The 17,579-nt window shown below is 39.0% G+C and overlaps 1 protein-coding gene across 18 annotated transcripts in view; it reads left to right on the top strand.

Annotated features, from left to right (window-relative positions):
- ARMH3 (armadillo like helical domain containing 3) overlaps positions 1 to 17,579 on the top strand; it is a 210,575-nt gene that overhangs the window by 97,377 nt on the left and 95,619 nt on the right. For 14 of the 18 annotated variants that reach the window (XR_001747199.2, XM_047425735.1, XM_011540157.3 and 11 more), the window contains 2 exons: positions 1,065 to 1,147; positions 2,074 to 2,200. The exons of the other annotated variants lie outside the window; for them this stretch is intronic. Coding sequence is in view for 13 of the 14 variants with exons in the window: in XM_047425735.1 (XP_047281691.1) it covers positions 1,065 to 1,147; positions 2,074 to 2,200 (210 nt within the window). In the remaining variant the exon portion in view is untranslated. The remainder of the gene's footprint in view (positions 1 to 1,064; positions 1,148 to 2,073; positions 2,201 to 17,579) is intronic. 18 annotated transcript variants of the gene reach the window in all.

Here is a 17,579-nt window from a genome sequence, read left to right as displayed (position 1 = left end):
TCACATCTCTACTTTAAGAGTAGTAAACTTCACACAAAACTCTGACAGCATGGGAGAATGAACTTCTTTGCTGGCAAAGAAGCAGATATGGTCCTAGAAAAAGAGAGGTCAAGCCTTTTCTTGGGTCTGTGGAAGGTGGGGGTTTGTGGGGGAGAAGACAGAAGGACCACAGATTGCCTGCAGCTGCTGAACCCCTTTATAGTATCCCATCAAGTAGGGGAGGTAGGTACAGGGGCATTATCTGAGATGGGCAGAGAAGCAGGACTCATTTCATGGACAAAATGTGCTAGGTGAATGAGTATAAGGTAACTGATAACTTCTTTTATGCTTAATATTTATTTGCAAAAATGTCTGAAGCTGCACTGCTAAACTAGGGACTTGGCAGTCAGTCTCTTTATTGAGGTTGCTTGGGTTTTAGGAATCTCTCCCCTCGCTAAGAATTGCCAGGCAGAAAGAGATTTCAATAAATGTTGTCACTGTAACGAGAGGTCAGCGCAAGCTTCACTTTGTTTGAATAGTTAGAGCAGTTAAGGGCTTTTTTTCTCTTTATGAGCTCTCCTCATCTAGAGGAGTACATACAGTATAGCTGCTATATCTGGTGACCAGTTAGAATGGATACATTTTCCTCTTAGCAATGATGTCTGAAACAGATACATGTCTAAAGCTTGATGACAATAGAAGCTAGCAGCTGAGGGTGGAAGGGGGACCCTCATTTTCACCTGTAAATTGAGCAAATTTGATGGGGAAATCACCATGTGGGAGTAAATTTGAAACACCAAGATGTCAGTTTTATAGTCAGATTTCTGAGCTTAATTGCTATTTAAGAAGTGGCAAAAAGAAGTAGCTATTTCAAAACCTTCCATGAACAGATAAGCAGACACGTGCTTGGGAAGGTGAGTGCTTTCCTCAAATATACCTACCTTACCTGCTTTTTAAAAGACCTTGGTGGCTGAGACTTACTCACTCTAACCTTCTGGATTTTTTTTAGAGCTAGTCTGTTTTTATTTAACTTTATTAATCATGGTTTGAATAGCTTGTTGATGTCTTTTTTTTTTTTTTTAAAGCCTTGATAAATTTGCTGAAGTTCCTTATGTCAAATGAGACTGTACTTTTGGCCAAACACAACATTTTTACATTAGCCCTTATGGTGAGTATCAAAACAAATACTTCTTTTTCTGAAGCCATATGCTAAGGCAGAAATGCACTGGTTTGAAACAGGAGCTGGTGGTCTGGGGACTAAGCCATAGAGGGAACCAGACCTATATATATTTTTTGGATCCGAATCTGGACTGGTGGTCCCCACTCTCACCTATGTCTTTGGCAAACTCTGCATGACTCTCTTTCCTTCATGAAAATATATTGTCTGGCAGGGGTGGGTATAGGTTAGATCTCTGTGTATGAATAGTGAGCCTTGGTCCCAATTGAGAGACTGCTGTATACTACTGCGGTCTCTATGTTGGTAAATAGCAAACCCTCTGAAGGTTCCATCATGGCTGCACTTGGTTTCTGAGGGACATTACAGATGCTTGCTTATCTGGCTGGTTATTTGGGATAGAAGGAGGCCATTGTGCATTTTGACTATCTTCTTAGGATATTATACAATGTGTTCTTAAATGTTCAACATTAGAGGGAAAAAAAGTCTTGATTCGTAGCATTTGCTGATTTTCATTGTAGAGCTACACCCACCATGGCCAATTTCAAGCTATCAATGTGACATCAGAGTCATGCAGAGTTGGGAAGCAATGTGCAGTAGCACACCATTATATGATGTTTGCACCACACAGATATAATAGTTATAAATCTCCAGAGCATAGGTTAGTAAAAGGTAGAAAATAATTAGGAAGTGATAAGTTTTTAATATTTATTACTTTCATTTTAATATAATTTATTTAATTATAAGTTTATATGAGTGAAATTTTTAATAATGGCTGTGTTTAACAACTGGCTTACAAAATTCCTGAAAATTTTACAGTCAACTCTTGCAAGACAGTAAGAGCTGGCTACAGCATACCACTGATAATTTTTAGTCTTCATAGCCTGATGCCTATATATGGGCCTTTCCTTCTTTTTTAGATTGTGAACCTATTTAATATGTTTATCACATATGGCGACACATTTCTGCCAACCCCCAGCAGCTATGATGAACTTTACTATGAGATTATCCGCATGCACCAGAGCTTTGACAACCTCTACTCCATGGGTAAGCTGCCTTTTCTTTTTACTCCTCTCTCCACCATTTGTCTAGCTTTTGGCATATAAGAGGAAAAGACTACGAAAGATTCTCCTCTAGTTGTTTGGTGCCCTGTGTGGCACAGAAATATAGTAGTCTCCTCTTCTCAGGCAATAGGAAGGTACATGTGGGCCTTTTTGCCTTTAGGAATTCAGATTTCATCTCAGTGTAAAGCTGGTTAGCAGCCCTTTGTTGATGTTGCTGAGAGAGAGAGAGAGAATAGGGAGGCTTGTGGATTCATTGAATGCCAGAGAGAAGGAGGTGAAAGAGTGGGTGGGAATTGACAGCAGCAAATAAAAGAACTTGGATCCCAGAACATTGTGTAATTTGCGGATGTCCAGGATTTTAAGGAATCTTAGTGTACCTATGTATTTTTAGCATAACTTACAAGTGGAAGTGGGCATTAGATAAAAATCTTTTTTTTGCAAATCTTTTGGTGATTGGCTCACTGAAAATGTACTCTCAAGCTACAGCAAGTATAACTTATTTCTGAAAGAATTCATGTGTCCCTATAAGTTTGGAATAGGGGCCTAGTTAATTCTACCTGTAGTATAAAGGTTAAGGAAAAATCTCTGTAGATTGCACAGAAACAGCCACTCAGTAAAACTATCTTATTTTTAAAGCGCAAATTTATTAGCTTTATTGAAGTATAATTGACATATAAACTGCACACATTTTAATTATACAAATTTTAATAAGTCTTGACATATGTGTACGTATGTGAAACTATCACAATCATCAGGATAATAACCATATCCGTCACCTCTGAAAAGTTTCCTTGTATCTCTTTAGAATCCTCTCATGTCTCCTTCACCACCTTCACCCACTGTGCCTCATCCCTGGGCAACCACTGATTTGCCTCTGTCACTGTAGATTGGTTTGCTTCATCCTTTGTGATGAGATTAATTGTGAAAATCCCAACCTCTCCTTGGGACTCCTGTATCATGAGGAAACTGGAGAGGATTTGGAAAAAGTACCAGGAGAAAGAATAGAAGCAGCAGTGGAAAAGAAGGATTGCCTGGGAGGAAAATATTTTTTTTTCTAGTATACTTTATTTTTTAGAGAAGTGAAGGAAAACTTTTAAGAGAACTTTATAAGAGAACCTTTGCTATAATGTCTTAGGCAGTGCAAGTAGGGCCTTGTATTAGTAGGATGTTTTCAATGGCAAGTATCAGAAAACTCGGACTTAAAACCATCTTAAAGAGTAGGAAAATTATATGACAATTCTAGAATGGTATGATCAGTTGCTCAACAATGTCTACAAGGACCCAGGTTTTTAAAATATCTCCTCTCTCTCATTGTAATAGCTTTAGCATCAAGTCAGTTGCCCATGCAACAGCAAATCTCAGTTGTCCCATCAAGACCCATCTCTTTTTTTTAGGAGCTTGGCAGCCTTACATAAGAACTCTCTAATAGACTTCACGTTGGCTAGATGTGCTCAGGTTACCCTAGTGTGGTTTGCATCTGCCTGGCTTCACCAACTTCCTGAGAATGTAGAATGTAGAATTTTCCAAGGGTAAAGAGCAGCCCCAGAGGTTTTAGCACTCATTGGTAGATGAATAAAGATGCTTTTCAACGAGAAAAGGAAAGAGTTGGAGTGGGGGAGATATTTTATAAAAGTCTGACATACCTGCTCAACTGGGCCATATGTAACTAGTCAAATGAGATAAACCCTTGTAGCTACAGCAACAAGATAAGAGAAGATACCTGTGAATGTCCAAATCTGCCAAGGGAGTAAAAATGTTAACTAGGAGGGCACAAATAGGAAAGTGAAACACAGCAAACAATAGGAGATAGCATGTTTCAGTGCTCTGTTTTATATAAAGTATAAACTTATGCTGAAAAAAACTTGTTTTTTATTAACCTTTTTGAGGTTAATAAAATTTTGCCGTAATTTACATATATGGCAAAAACCACCCTTTTAAATGTACAGTTTTGAGTTTTGACAAATTTATATAGTAGTGTAATTATCACAAAAATCAAGATATAGAAGAGTTTCACTATCCAAAAAATTTCATATGAGGTCACCTCCTTTGTCTACGCACAACCCCTAGCAACCACTGATCTGTTTTCTGTTCTCTTGGTTTTGCCTTTTGCAGAACATCTTATAGATGGAATGATATAACCTTTTGAGTCTGGCTTCTTTCATATAGTATTTCATTTGAAATTCATCCTTGTCATTGCATCTATCAGTAGTTCCTTCCTTTTTATTACAGAGTAATATTCCATTGTATGAATTGCCATCTTAGTTTATCCATTTATCAGGTGAAGGACATTTGGAAGGTTTCCAGTTTTTAGCGATGATAAATAAAGCTCCTGTTAACATTCTTGTACCTTATTGAATACAAGGTTTTTTTTTGTTTTTGTTCTTTCTTGAGACAGGGTCTTTCTCTTTCACCCATGGTGGAGTGCAATGGCACAATTATGGCTCACTGGAGCTTTTACCTCCTGAGCTCAAGCAATCCTCCCACTTTAGCCTCCAAAGTAGCTGGGACTACAGGTACATGCCACCACGCCTGGGTCATTTTTGTATTTTTAGTAGAGACAGGGTTTCGCCATGTTGCCCAGGCTGGTCTTGAACTCCTGGGCTCAAGCAACCTGCCCATCTCGGCCTCCCAAAGTGTTGAGATTACAGATGTGAGCCACTGTGCCCAGCATGAACCCAGGTTTTTATTTCACTTGGTTATGTACCTAGCAATGGGATTTTGGGGTATTGTGGTAAGTATGTTTTAACTATATAAGAAACCGCCAAACCGTTTTCCAAAATGCATGTTCTATTTTACATTCTCTCCAGCAATGCATGAAAGTTGTCGTCATTCCATATCATATCCAGCACTTGATATTCTCCACTTTTTTGTTGTTGTTGTTGTTTGCTTCTAGATATATAGTGCTACCTCACTGTTTTTAACTTTGCGTGAATAATGATGTTGAGCATCTTTTCCTGTCCTTATTTGCCATCTATATATCTTCTTTGGAGAAGTATTTGCTCAAATCTTTTGCTCATTAAAAAAAAAAAAAAAAAAAGGCTGGGCACGGTGGCTGACGTTTGTAATCCCAGCACTTTCAGAGTCCCAGGCGGGAGGATCAAGACTAGCTTGGCTAACATGGTGAAACCCTGTCTCTACTAAAAATACAAAAATTAGCCAGGCATGATGGCACACACCTGTAGTCCCAGCACTTTGGGTGGCCAAAGTAGGCAGATCACTTGAGCTCAGGAGTTCGAGACCAGCCAACATGGCAAAACCCTGTCTTTACCAAAGATACAAAAATTTATCTAGGTGTGGCAGTGCATGCTTATGGTCCTAGCAACTTGGGAGGCTAAGGTGGGAGGATCACTGGAGCCCAGGAGGCTGAGGTTGCAGTGAGCTGAGATTGTACCACTGCACTCCAGCCTGTGTGACAGAGTGGTACCCTATCTCAAGAAAAAACAAACACCAGTGCACACCAAAGTTTATAATAGCACCATTCACAAGTGCCAAAAGGTGGAAGCAACTCAAATGTCCATTGACAGATGAATAGATAAACAAAATATGGTATATACACCCAGTGGGATATTATGCAGCCTTCAAAAGGAAAGAAGTCCTGTTACATGTTGCAGTGTGTATGAACCTTGAGGATATTGTGCTAAGTGAAATAAAGCAGTAACAAAGGGGTAGTACTTATATGAGGTATCCAAAGTAGTTAAATTCACAGATATGGAAAGTAGGATGATGATTACCAGGGGCTTTGGGAGGAGACAAAGAGAGTTGCTTAATGTGTGTAGAGTTTCAGTTCTACAAGATGAAAAAGTTCTGGAGATCTGTTTTACAGCAATGTAAATGTACTTAACACCTAAATTGTATGCTTAAAAATGGTTAAGAGGGGCGCCTCCAAAAGTAGAGTATCTTAGTTATTCACAGTCAGTTAAAGATTGAACTTCTCCTCTTTTCCCCCTTCTTACTACTGCCATTGATGAGTCTTTTTTAAAAAAGTGGTTAAGCGGGTAAATTGTATGAGATGTCTTTCTTTTCTTTTCTTTTCTTTTTTTTTACCACAGTAACAACAAACCTAAACTCTAAAGTTTATTTAGATTTTACCAATTTTTCCACTAATGTCTTTTGTATTCCAGGATCCCATCCATGTTACCACATTACATTTAGTCATCGTGACTCCTTAGTCTTCTCTGGTCTGTGACTGTTTGTGTTTCCTTGTTTTTTATGACCCTGATAGTTTTCAAGAATGTTCCTCAATTTGGGTTTGTCTTGTGTTTTACTCATGGTTTGACTTGGATTGTGGATTATAGAGAAAAATGTCACACAGTCCAAGTACCCTGACTTATCACTGATGATACTAACCTTGATCACTTGGTTAAGGTAGTGTTTGCTGTGTTTCTCTACCACAGAGTTGTAATTTTTTCTACTTTTTCATAGTCTGTTCTTTATTTTGTTTTATTTTTGTTTTTATCATGTCTTATTCTTTGGAAGCAAATCACTAAATGCAGCCAACTTGAAAGTTGGGGGACAGGGAGGTTAAGCTCCACCTCCTGCAGAAAAGGGTATCTATATAAATTATTTAGAACTTTTCTGGAAGAATTTGGTTGCTGTTGCTACTGCTGCTGCTGCTGTTCTTATTCCTCTTCTTCCTCCTCCTCATCCTCCGCCCCCCTCCCTCCTTCCCTCCCTCCCTTCCTTCCTTTCTTCTTCTTCTTTTTTTTTTTTTTGAGACGGAGTCTCGCTCTGTGGCCCACACTGGAGTGCAGTGGCACAATCTTGGCTCACTGCAACCTCCACCTGCTGGGTTCCAGGGATTCTCCTGCCTTAGCCTCCCAGGTAAATGGGATTACAGGCCCATGCCTCCACACCTGGCTAATTTTTTTTGTTTTTAGTAGAGATGGGGTTTCACCATGTTGGCCAGTCTGGTCTTGAACTCCCAACCTCAAGTGATTTGCCCTCCTCAGCCTCCCAAAGTGCTGGGATTACAGGTGTGAGCCACTGTGCCTGGCTTTCTTCTTTTTTTGGAGACAGTGTCTTGCTCTGTCACCCAGGCTGGAGTGCAGTGTCAATCACAGCTCATTGCAGCTTTGAACTTCAGGGCTCAAGCAGTCCTCCCACCTTGGCCTCCTGAGTAGCTGGGGTTACAGGTGTGCGTCACCATACCTGGATAATTTATTTTTGTTTTTTTGTATAGATGAGGTTGCCCTATGTTGCCCAGGCAGGTCTCGAACTCTTGGGCTCAAGCGATCCTCCTGCCTTGGCCTCCTAAAGTTCTGGGATTACAGGCATGAGCCACTGCACCCAGCCAGTATAAGTTTTAATCAAAAGCTTACTGGAGTTTTGATTGGGATTATGGCAAATCTATAGATCATTTTGGGGAAAACTGATATCTTGATAATGTACCTTACAATCCCTGACAAAATATATCTATTTATTGAAGTCTGATTTTTCTCACGAATGTTTTGTTGTTTTTACAACATGAAAATCTTGCATATATTCTATTAGATTTATCTTAATGTATTTCATGGCATTTGGTGCTGTTAGTATTTTTGAAAATTTTAATTTTTAACTGTTTATTGCCAATATGCAGAAACACTACTTTTTAAAATTTTTTTAATATGACAGCTTTATGAGATATAATTCACCTACCTTATAATCTGCCCATTAAAGCATACAATTTGGTGAGTTTCACTATAGTCAGAGAGTTGTACCACCATCACCACAATGAACTTTGGAGCATTTTCATCACCCCAACAGGAAACCTACCCATGAGTGGTGACTCCCCATTTACTGCAATCTCCTGAGCTCTAGGCAATCACTAATCTATTCTCTGTGTCTGTAAATTTGCCTATTCTGGACATTTTATATAAATGAAATCATACAATATGTGGTCTCTTGTGACTGGCTTCTTTTATTTTGAATCTTTTCAAGGCTTATCCATGTTGTATCCATGAAGTAACAGTACTTCGTTCCCTTTTTACTGTGGAACAATATTACATTGTATGGATATACCACATTTTATTTATCCATTCATCAATTGGTAGACATTTAGGTTGCTTCTACTTTTTGCTGTTATGAATTATCCTGCTATGAGCATCCATGTACAAATTTTTGTGTGGGCATGTTTTCATTCTGTTGAGTATATACCTAGGAGCAGAATTGCTGGGTCATATGATAACTTTGTGTTTATAACCTTTTGAGGAACTGCCACACTGTTTGACTGTCCTCACTTTTCCAATGTGGGTGTACCATTTTACACAAGCAAGAAACAATGCTGATTTTTAATCTTGTGTCCTGTTATCTTGCTATTTTTGATCTTGTATCCTGTCATCTCACTTATTGGGTTTATTAGTTTTTGTAACCTTTTTGGGATTTTCTACATAGACATTCATGTTGTATGTGAATGTTGTGTGCCTTTTATTTCTTTTTCTTGCCTTATTGTACTGGTTACAGCCTCCACTACTATGTTAAATTAGAGGGTAAAGATGGACATACTTGCCTTGTGTCCAATCTTAAGGTGAAAGGATTAAGGTTATCCTCCATTAAGTGTGATGTTAGCTGTAGGTTGTTCATAGATGCCCTCTATCTGGTTGAGGAAATTCCCTTTTATTTCCTGACAATTGTTGTCATTAATGAATGTTGAATTTTGTTAAACATTCTCTAGCATTTATTGCCATGATTACATGGTTTTCCTACTATTGTCTGTTAGTATAGTGATTGATTTTTAAATGGTGACCAACCCCACATGATTATAACATCATTTTTACATATTGTTGTATTCGATTTGCTAGTATTCATGAGGTATATTGGTCTGTAGTTTTACTTTCTTACAATTTCTTTTTCTGGTTTCAATATTAGTTAATTTTGGCCTCATAATATGAATTGGGAAGTGTTCTCTCATTGCTCATCTTCTGTTTTCTAGAAGAATTTGTTTAAGAGTGGTTTATTTCTTAAATGTTTGGTAAAATTTGCCAGTGAAGCCACTGCGTCTGGAGTTTACTTTCGTGGAAGATTTTAAACCATAAGTTCAATTTATTTAATAGATACAGGACTATTTAAGTTATCTATTTAGCAGTGACCTTTGGAAGCTTGTGTCTTTGAAGAAATTTGTTTTATTTTGTTGTCACTTTTATGGGGCATACAGTTGTTTGTAATATTCATTTTTAATGTCTGTAGGGTCTGTACTTAGCTTCCCTCTTTCATTCCCTATATTGGTAATTTATATTTTCTCTTTTTTTTTTTCTTCATCAGTTTGGATAGATGTTTATCAAGTTTATTGATTTCCCCTCCTCAGAGAACCAGCTTTTGGTTTCATTGATTTTTTTCTCTGCCATTTTTCTGTTTTATTGATTTATGCTCTTTATTTTCTTCTTATTGCTTGCTTTGAGTTTAATTTGCTCTTTTTTTGCTAGTTTTTTAGGGTGCAAGCATAGTTCATTGATATGAGACTTTTCTTTTTTTCTAATATAAATATTTTGTACTATAAATTTCCCTTTAAGTACTGCTTTAGTTGCAGCTCATACATTTTTTTGTTGTATTTTTATTGTCTTTCAAGTTCAGTGTATTTTCTTATTTCCCTTGAATTTCTTCTTTGACTTTTGAATTTTTTTAGAAATGTGTTGCTTAATTTTCAAATACTTGGGGATTTTCCAGATATTCTTCTGTTAGTAATTTCTAGTTTAGTTTTGTTTTGGCCAAAGAATATTGTTTGTATTATTTCAATGCTTCAAAATTTATTGAGACATGTTTTATGGCCCAGAGTATGGTCTATCTTGGTAAATGGTCCATTCCACATGCACTTGTATTTTGTTCTTGGTGGGTGGAGTGTTCTGTAAGTTTCAGTTTGGTTGAGTTGTATGATAATATTGTTCTCTGTTTTCACAAATTGTTCTGTCTACTTATTATAAAGGGACAGAGAAGATTGTTGAAACATTCAGCTGTAATTGTGGGTTTGTCTGTTTTCCCCTTTTGGTTCTTTTTACTTTTTGGTTCATGTGTTTTGTAGCTCTGCTGTTAGATAGATACACATTTAGGATTATTATATCTTGGCAAATTGACTCTTTTATCATTATATAATATCCTCCTTCACCCAGGTAGTATTCCTTGTTCTGAATTCTGTTTTGTCTGACTTTAATGTAGCCACTTTGGCTTTTTAAATTATTAGTATCTGCATGCATACCTTAACTTTTTTTCTTTTTAGAAGTGAGTTCTTGCTATATAGCTTGACTACAGTGGCTATTCACAGATGTGATCATAGTGCAATACATCCTCAAACTCTTGGACTTAACTGATCCTTCTGCCTCAGCCTCCTGAGTAGGTGGGACTACAGGCACATACCACTGTGGCTGGCTTATATATTTTCCTGTTAGCTATATTTTTATATTTAAAGTGTCTGTCTTGTACACAGCTTACAGTTGGGTCGTGTTTATTATCCAGTCTGATAATCTCTGTATCTTATTTGGCATATTATCTATACATATTTACAATGCGATAATCAATATAGTTTCTTTCAGTTCTACCACGTATTTTGTTTGCCCCTCCCCGCACTTTTTGGCTCTTCTGTACCTGCTTTTCTGCTTTCTTTTGGATAATTTGAATATATTTAAATATTCCATTTTAATTTATTAGCTGGCTTTTGGGCTATATTTGTATTTTTTAGCAGTTACTCTAAGATTACATTGTATGTACCTTTTGCAGTCTAAAGTCAGGATTGTACCACTTCAATAAAATGTAGAAACTTTGCTACTATATAGGGTCTATTTATTTATTTATTTATTTATTTATTTATTTATTTATTTTTGAGTTTCGCTCTTGTTGCCCAGGCTGGAGTGCAATGGCATGATCTCGGCTCACTGCAACCTCTGCCTCCCCGGTTCAAGCGATTCTCCTGCCTCAGCCTCCCAAGTAGTTGGGATTACAGGCATGCGCCACCACACCCGGCTAATTTTGTATTTTTAGTAGAGATGGGGTTTCTCCATGTTGGTCAGGCTGGTTTTGAACTCCCAACCTCAGGTGATCCGCCTGCCTTGGCCTCCCAAAGTGCTGGGATTACAGGTGTGAGCCACTGTGCCTGGTCTTTTTTTTTTAGTTTTTAGGAGATGGGGTCTTGCTCTGTTGCTCAAGCAGGAGTGCAGTGGTGTGATTATAGCTCACTGCAGCCTTAAACTCCTGGGCTCAAGTGATCCTCCTGCCTCAACCTCCTGAGTAGCTGGGATTACAGGTGTGAGCCACTGCACCCAGCTGGATATAGAATTTTTAGTTGGTAATTTTTATCTTTAAGTACTTTGAAGCTATTATTCTCCTTTTTCTGGCCTCCATGGTTTCTGAAAATAAATCTGTAGTCATTTGAATAATTGTTCCATTGTTTGTAGTATGTTGTTTTTCTCTAGCTTCTTTTTTTTTATTTTTGAGACAGAGTCTCGCTCTGTCGCCTAGGCTGGAGTGCAGTGGGGTGATTTCAGCTCACTGCAAGCTCTGCCTCCCGGGTTCAAGCTATTCTCTGCCTCAGCCTCCCGAGTAGCTGGGATTACAAGTGCCCACCACCACGCCTGGCTAATTTTTGTATTTTTAGTAGAGACGGGGTTTCACCATCTTGGCCAGGCTGGTCTTGAACTCCTGACCTCGTGATCCACCTGCCTCAGCCTCTCAAAGTGCTGAGCCACCACCGTACCTGTCCTTCTCTAGCTTCTTAAAAGGTTTTTTTTTTTTCCTTATCTTTGGCTTTCAGCAGTGTGATTGTAATATATCTATGCACAATTTTTCTTTGAGTTCATCCTATTTGGGGTTTGCTGAGCTTCTTGACTCTCACCAAATTTGGGGAAGTCTTTAGCCCTTCTTTTTTCACTGGGGACAGAAACTCTGCCCCAATTTCTGTCTCCTCCTTTTCTGAGACTATAGTATCACAAAGATTAGACTTTTCCATATTGTCCCATATGTTTCTGAGGCCCTGTCCCTCCCCTCCCCCATTTGTCTCTATTCTTCGTATTTAATTATTTCTATTATACTTTATGTTCACTGACTCCTTTGTCAGTCTATTCTGCTATTAAGCCCACCCAGTGAATTCTTTATTTCACATAGTACATATTTTACTTCTAAATATGTGTCACCCTGGCTGGAGTGCAGTGGTGCACTCTTGGCTCACTGTAGCCTCAAACTCCTGGGCTCAAGTGATCCTCCTACCTCAGCCTTCCAAAGTGCTGGGATTACAAGGCATTAGCCACTGTGCCCAGCTTTACTTCTAAATATTTTAATTGGTTCTTTGTTATGGCTTCAGTTTCTTTGCTGAACTTGTATCTTTCCATTCATTTCAAGTATGTTTACCTTTTCCTCATGGAGCATAGTTATGATAACTGCTTTAAAGTCCATGATAATTTTAACATATGTGCCATCTCAGATATCTGTTTTTTGTCTTTTCTTTTGAGAATTGGTCACTTTTTTTGTTTTATTATATATTCTGGTTCTTTATGAGTAATTGTGGATTACCTCCTGGACTTTTTTTTTTTTTTTTTTTTTTTTTTTTTTTTGAGGCAGAGTCTTACTCTGTCGCCCAGGCTGGAGTGCAGTGGCCCACTGCAACCTCTGCCTCCTGGGTTCAAGCGATTCTTCTGCCTCATTCTCCCCAGTATCTGAGATTACAAGTGCCTGCCACCATGCCTGGCTAATTTTTTGTATTTTAGTAGAGATGGGGTTTTGTCATGTTGGCCAGGTTGGTCTCGAATTCCTGACCTCAGGTGATCTGCCCACCTTGGCCTCTCAAAATGCTGGGATTACAGACATGAGCCACCGAGCCTGGCCTCCTCCTGGACATTTTTAATGTTATGTTGTATACACTCAGAGATTGGTTATAATCTTCTGGATTTTTTTTTTTCTTTTTTGAGACAGAGTCTCGTTCTGTCACCTAGGCTGGAGTGTCACCCAGGCACGCTCTCAGCTCACTGCAACCTCTGCCTCCTGTGTTCAAGTGATTCTTTTGCCTCAGCCTCTGGAGTAGCTGGGATTACAGGCATGCACCACCACGCCTGGTTAAGTTTTGTATTTTTAGTTGAGGTGGGGTTTCACCATGTTGGTCAGGCTGGTCTCGAACTCCTGACCTTAGGTGATCCACCCGCCTCAGCCTCCCAAAGTGCTGGGATTACAAGCGCGAGCCACCGTGTCCAGCCTAATTTTTGTATTTTTTGTAGAGACAGGATTTCGGCATGTTGCCCAGGCTGGTCTTGAACTCCTGGACTCAAGTGATCTACCCTCCTTGACCTCCCAGAGTGTTGGGATGGCAGGCACGAGGCACTGCGCCTGGCCTCTCAATTTCTTTCTCCAGAAAGATGAGGATTCCTTTTGAGTTTTAGCCATCCACATAGTTCCACTATGCAGCTCTGGAACTGGCTGACCCTTGGGGCAAAGCTGTAAGAGAAAATAGGAAAAATAAAACCTGGAAACTGACCCTCTTGTGAGCGTTTCTCCAAGTTTTGACTTCCCTCTATAATCTGTCTGCTTTTGTTTAATTTTCAGAGCCCTCAGATAATTACTTTTCATGTTTTGTCTAGAGTTTTTAGCTGTAATCAGCAGGAGATAGAGGCTTTAGTGGGCTTACTCTGCCATGCTGGAAGTAGAACACCATTTTTTAAAAAGATATTTTTGTTTAATATAAAATTTTTCATTCATTACTTTAAAAATCTCATTTGATTATTTGCTGGCTTACATAGTTGCTAGTAAGAGGTCCGTTGTTTTCATCTTGTTTCTCTGTGCATAATATCTTTGTTTTTCTCTGGATGCTCTTTTTTTTTTGAGATGGAGTCTCACTCTGTCCCCCAGACTGGAGCATAGTAGTGCCATCTGGGCTCACTGCAACCTCTGTCTCCCGGGTTCAAGCGATTCTTGTGCCTCAGCCTCCCGAGTAGCTGAGATTACAGGTGTGCACCACCATGGTTGGCTAATTTTTGTATTTTTAGTAGAGACAGGGTTTCGCCATGTTGGCCAGGCTGGTCTCGAACTCCTGACCTCAGGTGATCCACCCGCCTCAGCCTCCCAAAGTACTGGGATTACAAGCGTGAGTAACCATGCCTGGCCTCTGAATGCTTTTAATATTTTCTCTTTATCATTGGTTTTCAACAATATGATTATCACATGCCTTGGCGTGGTTTTCTTTATTTTGCTTGGGGTTCTTAGAACTTTTTGAATCTGTACATTTTTAGTTTTCATCAAATGTGGAAATGTTTTGGCTATAATTTCTTCAAATTTTTTGACCCTGCTCTTCTGTTCTCAGTTTGGACTCTCTCTCTCTCTCTCTCTCTCTCTCTCTCTCTCTCTCTCTCTCTCTCTCTCTCTATATATATATATATATATATATATATATATAGGCTCAAGCAATCCTTCTGCCTTAGCCTCCCAAAGTGCTGAGATTATAGGCATTAGCCACTGTGCTTAGCCGTGGGTTTCTTTTTTAATATTTCCATTTCTTTCCTCATCATTTTCAAATTTTCCTCAGTCTTCCTGAATATATCGAACGTATTTCTAATAGATTTTTTTTTTTTTTTTGAGATGGAGTCTTGCTCTGTCACCCAGGCTGGAGTGCAGTGGCAGGATCTCGGCTCACTGCAAGCTCCGCCTCCCAGGTTCACGCCATTCTCCTGCCTCAGCCTCCCGAGTAGCTGGGACTACAGGTGTCCGCCACCACACCCGGCTAATTTTTTGTATTTTTAGTAGAGACGGAGTTTCACCGTGTTTGCCAGGATGGTCTCGATCTCCTGAGCTCGTGATCCACCCACCTCGGCCTCCCAAAGTGCTGGGATTACAGGCATGAACCACCGTGCCTGGCCTCTAATTGCTATTTTATTGTCCTTGTCTTCTCCTTCCATTGTCTTTCTTCACGTCTAGGTCTGTTTCTACTGACTGATTTTCCCTCTGCTTATGCTTCGTATATTTTTTTGTTTCTTATGGTTCATATGTTTTTGTTTCTTTGCATGCCTGGTTATTTTTGTTATTAGAATTTAGAAATTGTGATTTTTATGATGTGGATGCTGGATTTTGTTCTGTTTCTTTTATGTAACATTGGACTTTATTCTGGAATTTGATTATGTTATGTGGAATCAGTTGGATCTTTTCAGGGTTTGCTTTTAAGGGTTGAGGGTAGATCAAGAGCAACCTTGAATGTAGGCTAATTTGTCCCATTACAAATGCAGTACCCATTTCCAGAACCTGCCTGATACTCCATGTGTTACTAGGTCTTTCCACTCTTGCTGGTGGAAACATAAGTTATTTTCTTTGTGGAGCGTGCCGTGAGCTCCTCAGTTTCTTCTCCTTTCTAGTGGTTCTTCGCCCTCGGCCTTGGGTAGTTTCTTCTTCCATATGCATAGATCAGTGTCTGCAAGAGATGTAAGGGATCTGCAGAGCTGTCTGTCAAACTCCCTCCTTGCCAGCTTTCTGCCCCACATCCTCTAGATGTCTTGGCCTCTCCAAATGCTGATCTCTATGTCTACAACTTGGCAAGACTTCTAGCTTCTGTTTAGATTCCTCTTCCCAACCCTGCAGTGTGGGAACTTTTCTGCAGGGCAGTTGTAGGGTTCACCTTCTTTGTTTTCCTCCTTTTAGGGGATCACAATTCTATGCTGCTTGTTTTCCAATGTCTGACAACCATTGTTTCATATGTTTTGTCCAGGTTTCTGTTGTTTAAGGTAGGAGGGTAAGTTACTGCATCTTGGCTAGAAGAGGAAAGACATTTTTTTTTTTTTTTTTTGAGATGGAGTCTTGCTCTGTTGCCTAGGCTGGAGTGCAGTGGTGCAATCTTGGTTCACTGCAACTTGTGCCTCCAGGGTTAAAGCAATTCTCCTGCCTCAGCCTCCTGAGTAGTTGGGACTACTGGCATGTGCCACGGCACCCAGCTAATTTTTTTTTGTATCTTTAGTAGAGATGGGGTTTCACCATGTTGGCTAGGCTGGTCTTGAATGCCTGACCTCAAGTGATCCACCCACTTCAGTCTCCCAAAGTGCTGGGATTACAGGCATGAGCCACTGTGCCCGGCTCACTAAGACATTTTTGATAAAGGCACACACTTAATCTTCCTGTTTGGCTGCAGTGAAGCCCACTGTATGGGAAGGACTTCCACAGAAGCTACCCAGAACCATAAATGACATTATGTTTTAAGCTGTCTTTTCTTGTTTTTAAAATCAAAGGTAATTACCAATACTAAAGAAAAAGCATAGAAAATAATTAAAATCTTATAATTCCTTGGTTCTAGTACTACCACTGTTTTCACTGTTGTATATTAACCCACATGCATGCATAGTTTTACAGAGTTGTAATCATGATATCCTTCTAGCTTGTGTTTTTTAACATACAATTCATTTTTTTTGTAATTTTCATGTCTCTTTTTAAATGGCTGCATATTATTTTTGTGTACTATAATTTACTACATAAATGATGGCTTTAGTTTGAGGCTTTTAGGGAATTTTGAAATAATTTTGTGTTTCAGTTTGGTAGCTTAGAAAAGAATGTAAAAACCAATGGTGTTTCCAAAGGAAATGTAGTGATGAGGTCATCTGGGTGCCTGTTCAGTAAGGAACAGAGCTGACAGGATATTACAGAGAAGTAATCCGTGGACAGAGTTCAATACCTCTGTGAAAATGTGAGGAGGCAAAATTCAGCTCCATTTCATAAATGTCTAGGTTCTACCATCAGAGAACTTGTGATTTTTGTGGGGGATCTGGTGAAAAACCAATGCATCTAAATAAATTTCACAATTGAGGTATAATAATAATAAAATTAAAAAAATAAATTTCACAATTGAGTTGAACAATAAATGTATGGCTTCCTGAAACAATTTTGTTCATTACATGAATAAATTCTCACATGCACTCAGTGAAACCTGAGTTTAGACTGTAGAGCTCTAACTTGGAACTATACCAAATTCCCTTGCACTAAATCTTATAAATTAAAAAAGCAGCACTGTTGATGTGTTTTATTAAGTCTTCTGTCTTCTTTTTCATTAAATTGCATGAATTTATAAATGTGAGACATTGCTGGAACAGACGTAGAGCAGCCAGATGAGCTTTCTTTCCCCCATCACAGCCACAGGCCCTCCCTCTGATAGAGCTTCTGCTGCAGCTCTTCAGAATCTTGGTCAGGCGTACATAGTGATGGTACTCAGCTATGAGGGTCATATACAGATTGGTCACACATTTCTTAATGTTAGTGAGGCCCTACTTTTTTTCTTTTGGGAAAGTCCAGGTACATTCATTCATTCATTTGGGAGGTAGTCTGTTGAAATTAATAATAGCTAAAACTTATTTACTATGTGGCAGGCACTAATCTAAGAGCTTTATATATAACAATTCTTTCATATAGGTATTGCTGTTATTTTCTAGTAGGTGGTAGGGGCTGGACTT

This window comes from Homo sapiens, chromosome 10 (genome assembly GCF_000001405.40).
Source record: "Homo sapiens chromosome 10, GRCh38.p14 Primary Assembly".
In the NCBI taxonomy this organism is placed as follows: domain Eukaryota; kingdom Metazoa; phylum Chordata; class Mammalia; order Primates; family Hominidae; genus Homo; species Homo sapiens.
This window is presented reverse-complemented; position numbering and strand designations above follow the sequence as displayed.